The sequence below is a fragment of the Homo sapiens genome, chromosome 21 (assembly GCF_000001405.40).
Source record: "Homo sapiens chromosome 21, GRCh38.p14 Primary Assembly".
Classification (NCBI taxonomy): domain Eukaryota; kingdom Metazoa; phylum Chordata; class Mammalia; order Primates; family Hominidae; genus Homo; species Homo sapiens.
Genome location: NC_000021.9, coordinates 44,465,275 through 44,481,966, shown reverse-complemented (window position 1 = coordinate 44,481,966; position 16,692 = coordinate 44,465,275). Strand labels below are relative to the sequence as shown.

Genomic DNA, 16,692 nt, shown 5'->3' with positions numbered 1-16,692 from the left:
GGAGGTGACTGGATGATGGGGTGGTCCCCCCATGCTGTTCCCATGCACGGGAGAGACCAGGTGGAGGTGACTGGATGATGGGGTGGTCCCCCCATGCTGTTCTCATGCACGGGAGAGACCAGGTGGAGGTGACTGGATGATGGGGTGGTCCCCCCATGCTGTTCTCATGCACGGGAGAGACCAGGTGGAGGTGACTGGATGATGGGGTGGTCCCCCCATGCTGTTCTCATGCACGAGAGTGACCAGGTGGAGGTGACTGGATGATGGGGTGGTCCCCCCATGCTGTTCCCATGCACGGGAGAGACCAGGTGGAGGTGACTGGATGATGGGGTGGTCCCCCCATGCTGTTCCCATGCACGGGAGAGACCAGGTGGAGGAGACTGGATGATGGGGTGGTCCCCCCATGCTGTTCCCATGCACGGGAGAGACCAGGTGGAGGTGACTGGATGATGGGGTGGTCCCCCCATGCTGTTCCCATGCACGGGAGAGACCAGGTGGAGGTGACTGGATGATGGGGTGGTCCCCCCATGCTGTTCTTGTGACAGTGAGCTCTCAGGAGACCTGGTGGTTTCATACATGCTCAGTAGCTCCTCCTGCGTTGCTTCTCTTTCCTGCCGCCTTCTGAAGAAGGTGCCTTGCTTCCCCTTCCACCGGGATTGTGAGTGTCCCTGGGGCCTTTCCAACCATGCTGAGCTGTGAGTCAATTAAAGCTCTTTCCTTTCTAAATTACCCAGTCTCAAGCAGTTCTTCACAGCAGTGTGAAAATGGACTAATGCAGTGACCACTCCCAGCCTGTTCCTTCTCGGTGCAGGTCCACATCTGGGATTTTAAGACTAACCAGACCCTCCTAGTTTCTAAAAGCTTTGATTTTTCCAGAGCCTCCTTCAGGCCAGTAGGTAACCAGGAGCCCTGAGAGGGCTGGTGGGTGCTGACCTGTCACAGCCTCCTCAGGGAGCCAGAAAAGCAGGGCCAAGGGGCCAGGCCAGAGAACCTGTGAGCATGAGGAGCCCCAGAGGCCAGGAGAGCCCAGGGAATTCCATGACCTCAGAGGCCGCCCCCATCGCCCCTGCATGCGCGTGGAGCATGGGGATGTGCCAAGCCCAGCCCAGCCTGCAGCAGAGACCCCCACCCCCACACATCCCTGCTGTCGCCATCCCTGAGGCCTGGCCCTGCCCTTGCCTCTCCTTGGCCGGCCCTGGGCAGCCAGGGGCTCCAGTGTGTCTGGCCTGGAGTTGCTGGCCTCAGGAGAGGTGGGGCCGAGGATGCCACATAAACATGCAGGGTGCCTGGTGAAATCTGAATTTCAGATAAACAATGAATACATTTTTTAGTGTAAGTATATCCCAAATGTTACACGGGACGTACTTACACTGAAAGACAGCTATCGATCTGAAATCCAGATGTAACTGGCCAGCCTGCATTTTTATCAGCTCCATCTGCCAACCCCACCCATGGAGGAGCAGCCACACCTCTCAGGGCTGGGGTGCTCAGATTTCACTGGGGTTGCAGGTGGGGCCTGCGGGGCCAGGAAGGATAGGGGTGACTGGAGGAAGTGCAGAGACCATCAGGGACCTGGCCGGGCCTGTGGGGAGGCAGCTTCAGGCAGGGCAGGCTGGTCATCCTGGGGTACACCTGCTGGCAGAGCCCCCGGAAGTACCCTCAGAGGCAAGGTGGCCAGACGGGGAGAAGGGGAGAAACCACCCAGGTCAGGCGCGCTGTGGGGACCTCTGAGAGCCCCACCTGATAGCTGTGATGGTTAACTTCATGGGTCAATTTGGCGTGTGTTTTTGGATGAGATTAATTTTTAAATCTGTGAACTTCGGGTAAAGCAGGTGGGTGGGCCTCATCTGTGGGCGGCAAGCCACCCAGGCGCCAAGGCAAGAGACAGAGGACACGAGCTGTTCCAGTATAATAAAATATAAAACAAGAATAGTTGTACCAGATATAGATCTTAGATATGATTATACATGAATATCATTAATCATTAGTTTGTAGCAATTACTTTTTATTCCAATATTATAATAATCCTCGCTCTATAATCATAGCCTAGGAAAAACCAGGCCATACAGAGATAGGAGCTGAGGGGACACAGTGAAGTGTGACCGGAAGACAGGAGTGTGAGCCTTCTGTTATGCCCGGACAGGGCCACCAGAGGGCTCCTTGGTCTAGCGGTGACGCCAGCGTCTGGGAAGATGCCTGTTACCAGGTGGACCGTGGTCCAGCGGTAGCAAAAGGTGTCAAGGAACAACACCCGCTACTTAGCAGACCGGGAAAGCGGCAGGGGGGCGGGGTGGTCTCCCTTTCCCCGGGGGAGTTTAGAGAAGACTCTGCTCCTCCACCTCTTGTGGAGGGCCTGACATGAGTCAGACTCGCCCACAGTTATCCGGAGGCCTAACCGTCTCCCTGTGATGCTGTGCTTCAGTGGTCATGCTCCTAGTCTGCCTTCATGTTCCATCCTGTACACCTGGCTCTGCCTTCTAGATAGCAGTAGTCAATTAGTGAAAGTACTAATAGTCCCTGATATGCAGAAATAATGGCGTAAGCTGTCTTTCTCTCTGTCTCCTCTCCTTCTCTGCCTCGGCTGCCAGGCAGGGAAGGGCCCCCCATCCAGTGGACACGTGACCCACATGACCTTACCTATCATTGGAGGTGACTCACATTCTTTACCCTGCCCCTTCTGCCTTGTATCCAATAAATAACAGCGCAGCCTGGCATTCGGGGCCACTACTGGTCTCTGTGCATTGGTGGTAGTGGTCCCCCGGGCCCAGCTGCCTTTTCTCTTATCTCTTTGTCTTGTGTCTTTATTTCTACACTCTCTCGTCGCTGCACACAGGGAGAGACCCACCAACCCTGTGGGGCTGGTCCCTACACTCCTCCAATCAGTTGAAGGCCAAAATAGAGTAAGAAGGCTGGCCCCCCTGGGCCAGAAGGCCTTCTCCTGCAGCCTGCCTTTGGGCTTGGCCTGCACCATGGGCTCTTCTGGGTCCTGAGCCTGCCCGCCCACACCGCACAGGAGCCAATGCCTCGTGCAAAGTCTCTGCTCCTCTCCACACATCCTAGTGGCTCTGTTTCCTTGCTGAGCCCTGATGAATGCAAGGCCCAAAGAGGCAACAGTCCCACACAGGAGTCAGGACATCTTGTGTTTAGTCCCACTGGCCAGTTCCCCATCCCTGTGCCTCAGTTTACCCATGAGGGAGGAGTGAATGGGGCATCCTCCCTGAGCACCTGAAGCTACACAGCTGTGCTCCGTGGAGGGACCTGGACATCCACGCACTTCCTCCCTGTGCTGTGGGTGTCACTGGGCCTCTGATTGCGTCAGGAGCTGGCGCCAGGGAGGAAGGAGGCAGACAAGGTGCTGCCAGCACCCAGGCACACGCAGGGAGCCACATGCACTCCCACCCGGTGCACTCTGCTCTGTTTACAATCAAAGGGCACCAGCACTGCTGGGTGGAAACAAAACTAAAAACACCAGAACTTGTCAATCGAGATTTTAAAAATTCACAATACAAACCAGAGGGGAAAATGCTGGAACATCGGAATATTTAGCTCTTTCCAAGGTTGCTCTTCTGGTCTTTGTCTCTGCTGATAAACATTTACATGGTGACAAGATGTGCCGTATGAATCACGTGCAAGCCGCTGTGGCCACATGCTCCAAGTTTCTGAAAACTGCAGGGAACCCTCGTGACAGCACTCTGGAGTGTCCTCGGCCAGGCGTCTTTTGTTCACTCGTGGGAGTTCTTTTCAACAGTCTCGAAGGAGCAAAAACTTTAAGATCATTGTTGTCTAAATTAGTTTCCCATTGGAGTTCCTTCTTTGGGTTCCTGTTTTCCCACAGGATCTTGGCAGCAGTTTTTGCCTCCACTCCTTGCTCTTCCGTCTCCTCCTGCAAACCTGCTGGAGTCTCCAACCAGCTGGGCAGAGCCCCACTCATCCCCTCAGCTGACAAGAGTGCCCTTTACCCGTTGCTGCTCATGCCAGGACAGGAAGCAGACGACTGCTAACAAAATGTTTTCACTGTGATCACTGCTACCTGTGTTGGGTGCAGGTGCCCAAGTGTCACCCAAGCCTCTCCCGTGGTGCAGGTGCTCAGGCAGTTCCCAGGCCTCCCTGTGGTCTAGGTGTCCACACACTACCCAAGCCTCTCCCGTGGTGCAGGTGCTCAGGTCACACCCAAGCCTCCTTCCTGTGAGATGCCGGTGCTCCAGGTGTTCCTGAAGCCTCCCCTCTGCTGCAGGGGCTCACGTCACACCCAGACCTCCTACAAGATACAGGTGCTCAGGTGTCACTCATGTCTCCCCCATGGTGCAGGAGCTCCAGGTGTCACTCAAGCCTCCCCTCTGGGGCAGGTGACTTAAGAGCACCTGTTATTAGAGTCCTATATTGATTATAAAACCATCTTTTAAAGGGGATTAAAATGAAGCAACAATTGTCTGTGTATGATAAGTCTTGGGGCAGCCGCAGTTAGACACAATTGACAAGGAAATTTGTTAATTTATACGATGTCTGACTTGGAGGCCAGCTGTGCAGACAGTTCCTTCAGCTGAAAGTCATCAGGGGTTGAGAATCTGTCCCAGGGCCCTTCAGCCCTCAGGGCAGTCCTGTTCCACTGGCTGAGTGTGGCGGAGGGGGCCAGCTGTGTGGAGCTTCCTCCCATTTGTCCGACTGATGCAGTCTGCCTTCCAGTGGCCTGGCTTCCCGCAGCGATGGCAGTTACCTGGGAGGGTGTTCTGAGGGCAACCTGGAGGGGCGGGAGGGCTTGTAAAACAGCCAATAGTTGAGCCTGCCTCTTGTCCCTGCGTTTCTCCTTCTCCTTAGCCCTGTCCTCCTTATTCTGCTCTCAGTTATAAACAACTGAGGAGGCTAATTTGAGGATTTTTCTGCATAGGGACACTGGGTTCTAAGGTTGACTCTTGTAATTTTCTCCCAGTTCCTTTTTATTACAAAGGAAAGTGAGTTTTTTGTTTTAAGCTTTGGAGGATCAAATTTTTCCCAGTTCTTGGGGATGCATTTAAGGGGTGTGTCCTGTGGTATAGAGATGTGATTATCCAGAGAGAACAGAGGAGGAAAAAAAAGGAAAAAGAAGGAGTCCCCTGTTATTTCCTTATTATCCTTTCCTGAACAGGGCACCCCCATTCATCCTTAGGGTTCCAGAATGAACCCATTTTACGACGTACCCTTAACCTTGGTCCCATTTTGTCACAATTACCCGCATGAGAACAAGGAAGATGCCAGAATGAACAGGGGGCCCCGTGTTCATCCTTGGGGTTGTGGAATGAACTGGTCTGTGTACCCCTCACCTTGCCTTCATCTCTGTTCTAATGGTAATCTGATAGCCTGGGAAAAACCTTCATCTCTGTCCTATGGGTCTCTTGCACCTGCGGCCTTGGGCCATCCTATATCCTCATCTCCATGACCTGATAGTGACTCTCACTTGGAGCATGCTAGCAACAAGGTGGTATCTCTTCTCGGATTCCCAGTTCCCATGTTCTTGAAGGAGATGAGGAGCTGTATTAGTCTATTTTCACACTGCTATAAAGAATGCCTGAGACTGGGTCATTTATTTAAAAAGGAGGTTTAATTGACTCACAGTTCTTCATGACTGGGGAGGCCTCAGGAAACTTACAATCATGGCAGAACGTGAAGGGGAAGCAAGGCACAGCTTGCAGGGTGGCAGGAGAGAGAGAGCAAGGGAGGAACTGCCAATCACTTTTAAACCATCAGATCTCATGAGAACTCACTCACCATCACAAGAACAGCCTGGGGAGACTGCTTCACAATCCAATCACCTCCCACCAGGTCTCGTTCTTAACATGTGGGCATTACAATTTAAGATGAGATTAAACCATATCAGAAGCCTTTTTTTTTTTTTTTGGCTAATTGCCACAGGGGGTCGGACTCCCCTCCCTTCAGATATGACCTTGAAGGTCTTGGTGCATATTGAGAAGAGCATGGAAGTGATTAGAGAAATGGAGGAAGATTTGTATTTGGGGTTCCTCGTCCTCCCGGGGTAACATGAAGAACAAATGCTTAAGCAGATGGGACAATCCCTTGGCTATGGGAGGAAGTGGGAGGAAGCAAGAGGAATATTCATGAAGGCAAAGCGTAGAGATCTCTTACCTCTAGGGAATGTATCCGAGTCACGGCACCAAAGTACGTCAGCACCAAAGTACGTCAGCAGCGGTGGATCCATCCGGGCCTGAAGTAACTCAATTCCTCCCTCCTCAAAGGAAATAACTCGTCTGAGGGGCATAAGGCAGAGTGAGGGGCTGAGGCAAGTTTTAGAGCACAAGTGAAAGTTGATTAAACAGTTTTAGAGTAGGAACAAAAGGAAGTAAAGTACACTTGGAAGAGGGTCAAGTGGGCGACTTGGAAGATTCAAGTGCACAGTTTGACTTTTGACTTGGGTTTTTATACATTGGCATGGTTCCGGGGTCTGCGTCTCTTCTCCTGTGATTCTTCCCTTGGGGTGGGCTGTCACGCGCGCCGTGGCCTGCCAGCATGTGGGAGGGGCTGCGTGCACAATGTGTGCCCTGAAATTGTACACATGCTCACTTGAGGTGCTCTTCCCTTGCCAGCTGAGCATTCCAGCGGAAGGTCACATACCAGTTAAACTTCACCACTTTGCTTCTTAATGTGCTTGAACCCACTCGCCCAACTCCTGAGGTCTTACTGGGAAGCTGCAGATCACCAGCTTCAGGTGCGGTGCTTTCTGTCTATTGGAAGACTGCCTTTTCCTGGTGTCGGCTGTGACCAACTCTTAACTAGTTTTTTTTGTTTGTTTTTTGTTTTTTCTCTCTCAACTTTTAAAGGATAGAAGTAATCCATCGGTCTTAGGAATCAAAAAATTGGTGCAACTCCAAATAAAAGTAATAAATGTATTCTCCTCTTTCATTCTAACTTCATGAATCTTATTGACTTCACCAACTGTTATTACTCAACCAGCACCTGTCGAGATAACGCCTACCCAATTCAGTAAAGACGTCCACAGTGTGCAAACTTCATTACCAGAATTACCCCAGCTCTCATGTTTATTCACTCGGGCCAAGCAACTATTATCTCACACTGACCCTGAATAACTATCCAAACCCGAAAGCTCTCACTTAGTTTTAAACGCGATTATTACCAATAGCACTTTTTGTCACATGGTGATTTACAGAGTTCTCAATGTAACATATGCACTCAGATCCTAATACCAATCAATTCTTTAAATATCTACCCATATTTCTCACCATGCTGCTAATCCTAGTCACCACCAACCATCCAGTTCAACTTGTATCAGATGGGGAGGAGTAGGTATTATATCATTTCCACCACCTGGCTGATGGAGCAGAGGCTAACGCAGCAGCCCTGCAAGCAGCTTCTACGACCTCATGGGAGAATCGGTTTCATTGCAGCATGATTTCCACTGTGCTCCAACACGGGAGAATTTCAACACATATTCATTCTCAACCCTAACGCTGATATTCTCCCACGAATTGGGCCCATGACCACCATCAGCCATGGAAGACATTCAAAAAAATGAGGGCCTATTGAAAGCCTTACCCTTGACCTCGTCCTCACACGTCACCGGCAGCCTTGCGCGCATGTGTGCACCTTTCCTCGGGGGCACCTGCTCCAAAGACCTGATCGTCAAAACCACAAACACACATATACCCACACCTGCGCCCTCCTGATTCTGCCCCTCGCCTCCTCCCTCACAGCTGCCTTCACACTCGAATGCTGTCTTCCCGCTCTTAGAGCAACCTGGCTTCACAACCTGGTTGTGTCATCAAGGAAAGTGACCCCTTCTAATCAACTCAGTTGGTGGTGCCTCTGCCGGATTCTTCACCTCCACCATCATGACTCCCATCTCTCTGCCCCACATAACCACACCCTCAGACCCACAATTCACAGCTCTTGCTGTGGCTTCTCAGCATTTACGGTGGCAATAGAATGCAACTTCATCATACGTCATCTCAGATTTGAACCCCGCTTACACCCACATAAATTTCCAACCTATTAGAATATTTCCCAATTCCAATTCACCTGGCCCGACACCACACTTGAATCTAACTGCCGGTCTAAACACAGCATCCCTCCAGCTAGACCTGATCTGAATAGAACAACAATACCAACAAATGCAACGCAGCTCCAAACACTAACCTCAACAACTGTATCCAACCAAAAAGGCCTAATCAAACTTTACTTTCTCTCTTTCCTCACCCCACTTTCCTAGCCACACTCCTAATCAATACCCTTGAGTAACTTCAGTTACAATAAAAATCCTAACAAATAAAGATCAACCAGCCACCACCATCAACCAACTACCATAACTGTATACCTGTATAGCTATACCTACAGTCTTCACCAAGAAGTCCTACTTCTTCATCCTCAAAAATCAGTTTCCTAGTTTTTTGTTTTTGATTTTTTTTGTTTGTTTGTTTTTTGAGACAGAGTTTCGCTCTTATTGCCCAGGCTGGAGTGCAATGGCGTGATCTCGGCTCACCATAACCTCCACCTCCCGGGTTCAAGCGATTCTCCTGCCTCAGCCTCCTGAGTAGCTGGGATTACAGGCATGAGCCACTACGCCCGGCTAATTTTGTATTTTTAGTAGAGACAGGGTTTCTCCATGTTGGTCAGGCTGCTCTTGAACTCCCAAGCTCAGGTGATCCACCCGCCTCAGCCTCCCAAAGTGCTGGGATTACAGGCATGAGCCACCGCATTTGGCCTGTTCTCCTAGTTTTTAAAATCAATCTCTACCTTATCATGCCCTGCTGTTCATGCAATTATAACTAACTCTAGCAACAGCCCCATCAATTAAAGCCCTCAAATAACAACATTAGACCCCAAGCCTCAGGATAACCCTCAGTAGCTGTTGCCGCGGTACATCCAAACATCACTATCATTCCCCCAAATAAATTAAAAATACTCCTAATCCTATAAATGCACCACTGACCTTTAATACAATACCACAACCCACCCTTCCACTAATAATTAACCCAAACCCCCCAAAACTGGCAAAGGTTTTGAAGAGAAACCCACAAAACCTACAACAAACATTGTACTTAATAAAAATATGTTGTATGTCATAATTCTCACATGGCATTTAACCATGACTAATGATGCAAAAAATCATCATTGTATTTCAACTGTAAGAAGTCTATGGCTGGGCCAGGCACAGTGGCTCATGACAATAATCCCAACACTTTGGGAGGCCAAGGCGGGTAGATCATTTGAGCCCAGGAGTTGACGACCAGCCTGGGAAACACAGTGAGACCCCATCACTACAAAATTTTTTTTTGATTAGCTGGGCATGGTGGTGCATGCCTGTGGTCCCAGCTACTCGGGAGGCTGAGGTGGGAGGATCACTTGAGCCTGGAAAGTCGAGGCTGCAATGAACTGTCATCGTGTCATTACACTCCAGCAACAGATATACACTCCATCTCCAAAAGCAAAAAACAAAAAACAAGAAATCTAGTGGTCGACATTTGAAAAACCCACCACCTAATAAAAATTATCAACCACTTCTTCACTGACTTCCCAGTGCCATCAACTATCTCTGCATGATGGAATTTCGGCTCACTTTTAGGGGTCTGCCGAGCCCTAGAAATCATTACAGGACTTTTTCTAGCTATACATTATACACCAGATACAGTAACTGCATTTTCCTCTGTTGCACATATCTGCTGAGATGTAAATTATGGCTGAGTTATCTGACATTGACATCAATATTCTCATCTGCCTATTTATATATGTAGGAAGAGGCTTATCCCAGGGGTCCTACACTTTTCTGGAAACCGGAAACATTGACATCATTTCTGCTATTGGCAGTGATAGCAACAGCATGTATAGGCTACGCCCTACCATGAAGACAAATGTCTTTTTGAGGAGTGACATGTTTTGGATTTGTGTCCCCACCCAAATCTCATGTCGAATTGGAGGAGGGGCCTGGTGAGAGGCGACTGAATCATAGGGGCGAATTTCCTCCTTGCTGTTCTCATGATAGTGTCGACAAAAAGAGTCAGACTCTGTAAAATATTTGAAGAGATTTGTTCTGAGCCAAATATGAGTGACCATGGCCTGTGACACAGCCTTCAGGAGGTCCTGAGAACATGTACCCAAGGTGGTCGGGGTACAGCTTGGATTTGTAGATTTTAGGGAGGCATGAGACATCAGCCAAATACATTTAAGAAATATACTGGTTTGGTCCAGAAAGGTGGGACAACTCAAAGTGGGGACTTCCAGGCTTTTGGTGAATCTAAACATTTTCTGGTTAACAATTGGTTGAGTTTGTCTAAAGACCTGGGATCATAGAAAGGAAATGTTAGTTAAGATAAAAGATTGTGGAGACCAAGTTTCTTTGGAAGTCTCATAGTGGCTGCCCTTAGAGACAATAGATGACAATGTTTCCTATTTAAATCTTTAAAAGGTGCTAGACTTTTAATCTCTTCAGGATTGGGAGGACTTGGAAGAAAAAGATCTAGCTATGTTAATACAGATTCTTTAGAGATGCAAATTTTCCCCCACAAAGGACAGCTTTGCAGAGCAAAGATATGTCAAAGAAACATGTTTTGGGGTAAATTATTTTGACTTTCTTCTTTGTCACATAATGTCATGCCAGAGTCAGACTGGAAAGTAAGTCACAACATGTAGGGTTAAATAAAACCATCTCATGAGAATTTATGGTTTGTAGGACATGACCATCCAGATAGGATTTAGGATCATCTAGATAGGAATTTGGGCAAGATAAAAAAAAAAAAAAAAAAAAAATGAGAGCTTAGTCCTCAGTAGTGAGCAAGTTCCCATGAGATTTGATGGTTTAAAAGCGTGTGGCGCTTCTTCCCTTGTCTCTCTTTCTCCTGCTCCGTCACGTGAATAAGGTGCCTGAATCCCCTTAGCCTTCCTCCATGGTTGTAAGTTTCCTGAGGCCTCACAGCCATGCTTCCTATACAGCCTACAGAACTGTGAGTCAATGAAACCTCTTTTCTTCGTCCATTACCCAGTCTCAGGTAGTTCCTTACAGCAGTGTGAGAACAGACTCATACAAGGAGCGCTCACACACAGTGATCACAACCCTGTGATCAGCTATTCCATGCACTGGCACCTATCTAGTGGAGTCAGGTGGAGACAGATCTTCAGTTGACAAAGCCACCCTGACACGATTCTTCACTTTTCACTTCACTTTACCCTTCACGTCGCTGCCTTGGTAGCTGTCCACCTTCTCTCCCTTCAGGTAACGGGATCCAACAACCCATCAGGAATTTCATCAGATGTGGCACAATCCCATTTCACCCATACTACACAATTAAAAACATTTTAGGGCTGGGCGAGGTGGCTCATGCCTGTAATCCCCAGCACTTTGGGAGGCCGAGGCAGGCGGATCACAAGGTCAGGAGATCGAGACCATCCTGGCTAACACGGTGAAACTCCATCTCTACTATAAATACAAAAAATTAGCCGGGCGTGGTGGCGGGTGCCTGTAGTCCCAGCTACTCGGGAGGCTGAGGCAGGAGAATGGCGTGAACCCGGGAGGCGGAGCTTGCAGTGAGCCAAGATCGCGCCACTGCACTCCAGCCTGGGCGACAGAGCGAGACTCCGTCTCAGAAAAAAAAAATACAAAAACATTTTAGGCTTGGTTCTCCTCCCATGATGATTACCTGTTGCAGTCTTGTTTTAACCTGACCTACTAGGAGACCTAGATAATTATAGCCCAGCAAATCCCCTAACGCACCACCTCACATCAAACCAGAATGACACATCAACCCTATGCTCCATTCCCAATACCTCAGGAGGAATTCTGGCCCCTGTCTTCTCTGTTCTCATCCTGGCCATTGTCCCAATACTTCACCTGTCTAAACAATGGAGCATCCATAATATCCCACCATTCAGCTAATGTCCATTTGAATTCTAGGAGCAGAGCTTCTCACACATACGTGGCTCGGGGGTCAGCCCATTGAACAGCCTTTCATTATGGTTGGTCAAGAAGCATCCACTATGTATTTCCCTCTCATTCTCCTTTTAATACCACTCACTAGCTGAATCGAAGACAAGCTACTGAAAGGAAGAAGTCCTTGTGGTATATTTATGTGACTCTGGTCTTGTAAACCAAAAATGGAGAGCACTCCTCCCTAGGCCAATTCGAGGAAGAAGCTATCTGCTCCACCACTGGTACCCAAAGCGTGATTCTACTTTACCCCCTGACATTCATACTTGAGGTGCAATTAATTAATATTAACTGCCATGTCAGTATTGGAAAAACTCCTATAAATTATTACGATAACCATGAACATTGTGCTTGCCACTTTTAATGATGTGCTATGTGTTTCATCACACATTGTACGTTTGTGTATTATTGTACATTAAGTTGTGCCCCGCATGAATATTAAGCAAGAAGATGAACTGTTGTGACAACCTGTCATACGTCAACCAGGCCAAAATCCACAAACCCAGTTCTCAAGTATGTGAGTATCACCCAGTACAGATAATCCTTAACATTACATAGGACATGTAATTATAGATCACACATAGCACATGTAAGCCAGATCATTTCCCAACAACATGCTTATCACCTCCAAATAAACTTAACTACCAAGCGTCTAGAAATTAGCTACCATTTGGGAAGTATCCTCCTCCTTAGTCTAGGCGCATAAAACTTGGGTCTTTTCGCCATCTGCAAAGTTCACCGCACTGTCCCCTTCCCCGCATCATACGGGAAGAGGACCTGGTTAAAACTGTCCACATGCCCTAGAAATAAACAAAATCAGACTGCAGGACACAAAGACTTAGACAAACCTTCAAACTGATGTCCTAGCATTGTAAAATGTCCCACGTTAATATGGAGTTTCTATGCAATTCCAATCAAAATCCCAATGCAACCCCTCCCCTCCCCTCCCCTCCCCTTCCCTTCTCTTCTCTTCTTTTCTTTTGAGATGGAGTTTCGCTCTGCCGCCCAGGCCGGAGTGCAATGATCTTGGCTCGCTGCAACCTCCGCCTCCCAGGTTCAAGTGACTCCTGACCTTAGGTGATCCACCCGCCTCAGCCTCCTAAAGTGCTGGGATTATAGGCGTGAGCCACTGTGCCCAGCCCAGATCTAGTTACTTATATTTTAAAATATATAAAACTATATATTTCACAAACATGTCACACTGGACAGGCATCTTCCATTTTCACTTACTTCCATTGTTTTACCTTAAGAATGTTTTTCCCTAAAATGAAAAAAAAAAAAAAAAGCCAGTTCTATTCTAGAATCTTTTTATTTCCAACATTTGTAACTTTAACCTTTCCAAAAGTTATGCCAATTGTAGGTTGATTTGTTTACTGAGCATTTTCGTGTAATTTAATACCTGGAAGCCAAGTATTCCTTCCTAAGTAGTTTTACCTAGTAATTCTTGGAGATTCTCTTGTGACTCATGTCATTTATTAAAAAGGGCTGCATTGGCAGCGCGTGGTGGCTCACGCCTGTAATCCCAGCACTTTGGGAGGCCGAGGCAGGAGAATCACTTGAACTCAGGAGGCAGAGGTTGCAGTGAGCTGACCATTGCAATCCAGCCTGGGCAACAGAGTGAGACACCATCTCAAAAATAAATAAATAAATAAATAAATAAATAAATAAATAAATAAATCTGAAATACCAGCACAAATGCTGAAGCTACGGCACACCAAGGGCTGGGTTCACTCCAGTGGCTACACCCAGGCATGAAAGAGACCCAACTGGTGAAAAACAGGCTTAAATCCTAAGTGATACCCACGAGGTACCAAGGGAATGCAACAGCAGCAGCCGAGCCCTGAGTCCGGGGCTAGACTCTGGACAGAAGTGTCCCTTCCCAGTCCTTGTCCCTGGGCTGCTAAACACCTGAAGACTGATGAGGCATCCGCTTTCTGGTGATGCTGATTCGAATGACTTGCTCAGGAACCCTCTGTCTTCACGGCCCAATCATCGTGATTTCCACAGGCTCTGGGTCCACGTGACTTCTCGGCTGAGGCCCAGGGCAAGGATCGGAGGTTGGCGTTTCCACCCGGAGCCTTGGATCTCGTCACCCCTGCCAGTGGCTACAGGGACATCAGAGGCACCCGGAGCCTGCGGAGACCTGGGTCCCGCTGACCGGGAGCAGAGCTGCTCTCGGGCAGCACCCTGAGCCCGTCACCTGCGCCCGCCTACTCGCCTTGGCTGGGGCTCAGAAGTGCAAGCTGTGCCCAGGAGGGTCGAGAGGGCAGCTTCCCCAGCATGCTGCCAAGCTGAGTGTGAGGACAGGAGACAGGGCGCCCATCCCAGGAGGCTACCTCCAGGTCACCTGGCCGGTCCCAGGAGGCTACCTCCAGCTCACCTGGCCCATCCCAGGAGGCTACCTCCAGCGCACCTGTGTGCACGGAGGGGGCTCCCTGGTGCAGCCTGGGTAGGGGTCACATCGGGAGCTGTTCTGGGGCCCACCTGGCACCCAGACCCTTTGAAGCCGCGAGCCCCTGGGGTAAGCGCAGAGCGAGGTGACCACTGCCCACAGAGGCCTGTAGGGTCCACCACTGATCGCCTAAAATCTGAACGTGTATGCAGCCGGGGAGGCAGGCAATGGAGGGAGGCGGCAGACCAGGGCGTCAAGGCTGGTCCACTTTTGTCTCGGGCCGGCTGGCACCTGGAGCTGAGCACCTTGACACAGCGAGACCTCCCCCTGGACGTCTCTCCATCTCCTGCCTGGTCTGCGCGCTGCACCTGCCACAGTTACAACTTGGGCAAATGTGCAGTCACCGCGTCGTTAGGTGAATGACACTCACTCTTCTTCTCGGGGGTTCTCACGCCTTGACTCTCTGGCGTCATCGCCCTGGCTGCTGAGTCCTCGCAGGTGGCCACTGGCCACCCTCCCTGTCTGCATCCCCACTCCGGCTCTCACAGCTGGTATCACCTAGGGTGAGTCATCAGCTGTACCTCAGTCTCCCCATCCAAAGGGCTTGCTGGGATCCGTGTCCTGACCTGGCTGTACTGGGGAACGGGTGGCTGTTCTCCATCTTGTCCCAGGCCATTGCCCCCTCTCCTGCATTTGTGGCCCTTCCTCCAACGCCCCCTCCTCTCCGTGACAGCAAGGCTCTGGGGAAGGTCAGCCTGGGTGGGCCTGTCTCCACAGCTCCCTGTACCTGAACTCAGGGGGTTGTGAGTCCACCCTGCTGACCTCCAGCTGGGCCCCAAAACTGCAGGTGGCCGGCATCATCCAGCGGCACCTGAGCGTCCACTCCATCTCCAGCCAGCATCGTTGCCATGGCTACGGGTGCAGAGCCCAGTGCACAGGGCTCCCAGCATAGGCAGCCCCGCTCCTAGCCAGCGTGGCCCTGGGCACTGCTCACCGTGGCACTGGCCACTCTCCCTTCTGGGGCTCCATCAAGGACTTGCCGATTTGTTTTGACAACTGCCATGGCCCAGGTTGCCGAGAGAGGGTCTCCAGGGCTGGGTGTCAGAGACCCCGACTCCAGCCCAGCTGTGCCCCAAACAAGCCCTGTCCTGAGTGCGTCCTTTCTCCCCTCTGGACCTCAGTCTCAAGTTTCTCATCTGAAAATAGAAATACGACCAGCAAACCAGGCCCATGTGAGGATGACCTGAGGCCCCCTCTCTAGCAACCTTGGCCACGTGAGGCCATGGCTGCTGTCCCCTCCCAGGCAGGCAGCCCTCCCTGAGCCCTGTCACGAGGCTGCAGGATTTTGCTGTCACTGAACTCTCATCGGTCAGTCTCATCGGTCCCCAGCTCAGGTGTGTAAGACAATGTGTGTGAGCGTGTGTGCTGGTGTGTGTGTGCAGTGAGATCAAGTGTGTGTGTGTACAGGGAGAGTGAGCGTGTGTGTGTGTGTACAGGAAGAGTGAGCGTGTGTGTGTACAGGGAGAGTGAGCGTGTGTGTGTGTACAGGGAGAGTGTGTGTGTGTTACAGGGAGAGTGAGCATGTGTGTGTGTGTACAGGGAGAGTGTGTGTGTACAGGGAGAATGTGTGTGTACAGGGAGAGTGAGCGTGTGTGTGTGTGTACAGGGAGTGTGTGCACAAGGAGAGTGAGCATGCACGTGTGTGTACAGGGAGAGTGAGCATGTGTGTGTGTGTACAGGGAGAGTGTGTGTGTACAGGGAGAATGTGTGTGTACAGGGAGAGTGAGCATGTGTGTGTGTGTACAGGGAGAGTGTGTGTGTGTACAGGGAGAGTGAGCATGTGTGTGTGTGTACAGGGAGAGTGTGTGTGTACAGGGAGAATGTGTGTGTACAGGGAGAGTGAGCGTGTGTGTGTGTACAGGGAGTGTGTGTACAGGGAGTGTGTGTACAAGGAGAGTGAGCATGCGCGTGTGTGTACAGAGAGAGTGAGCATGTGTGTGTGTGTACAGGGAGAGTGTGTGTGTACAGGGAGAATGTGTGTGTACAGGGAGAGTGAGCATGTGTGTGTGTGTACAGGGAGAGTGTGTGTGTACAGGGAGAGTGAGCATGTGTGTGTGTGTACAGGGAGAGTGTGTGTGTACAGGGAGAATGTGTGTGTACAGGGAGAGTGAGCGTGTGTGTGTGTGTGTACAGGGAGAGTAAGCATGTGTGTGTGTGTGTACAGGGAGAGTGAGAGTGTGTGTGTGTGCCTGTGTGTGCGCCCGAGTGTGTGTGAGGATCCAGGTGGCCAGCAGCATTGAGCCACCCCACACCACAGCCCCTGTCCCATCTGGGAGGGACACTCCTGTCCTGCAGGGAAGCAGGAGAGGCTGACAGA

General features: G+C 50.1%; 1 long non-coding RNA gene and 3 pseudogenes across 1 annotated transcript, besides 2 other annotated features; 2 read left to right on the top strand and 2 right to left on the bottom strand.

Moving 5' to 3' along the window:
* Positions 2,188–2,267: an enhancer, noted in NCBI's record as "active region_18574". NCBI's record gives its function as "activates an Ori minimal core promoter by ATAC-STARR-seq in GM12878 lymphoblastoid cells {active_cell/tissue: GM12878}" and the evidence as "EXISTENCE:reporter gene assay evidence [ECO:0000049][PMID:35858748]".
* HEPFAL (hepatocellular carcinoma ferroptosis associative lncRNA) lies at positions 3,473–8,455 on the bottom strand. The gene is made up of 2 exons (XR_007067903.1): positions 6,118–8,455; positions 3,473–4,738 (listed from the first exon to the last, which is right to left on the bottom strand). It is a non-coding gene; the product is annotated as a hepatocellular carcinoma ferroptosis associative lncRNA (long non-coding RNA).
* Positions 5,559–6,758: an enhancer, noted in NCBI's record as "BRD4-independent group 4 enhancer chr21:45895092-45896291 (GRCh37/hg19 assembly coordinates)". NCBI's record gives its function as "activates an origin of replication core promoter dependent on BRD2, P300/CBP, MED14 and CDK7 cofactors, and independent of BRD4, by STARR-seq in HCT116 cells {active_cell/tissue: HCT116}" and the evidence as "EXISTENCE:reporter gene assay evidence [ECO:0000049][PMID:35650434]".
* MTND5P1 (MT-ND5 pseudogene 1) lies at positions 6,894–8,229 on the top strand (annotated as a pseudogene).
* MTND6P21 (MT-ND6 pseudogene 21) lies at positions 8,228–9,072 on the bottom strand (annotated as a pseudogene).
* On the top strand, positions 9,451–12,038 carry MTCYBP21 (MT-CYB pseudogene 21; annotated as a pseudogene).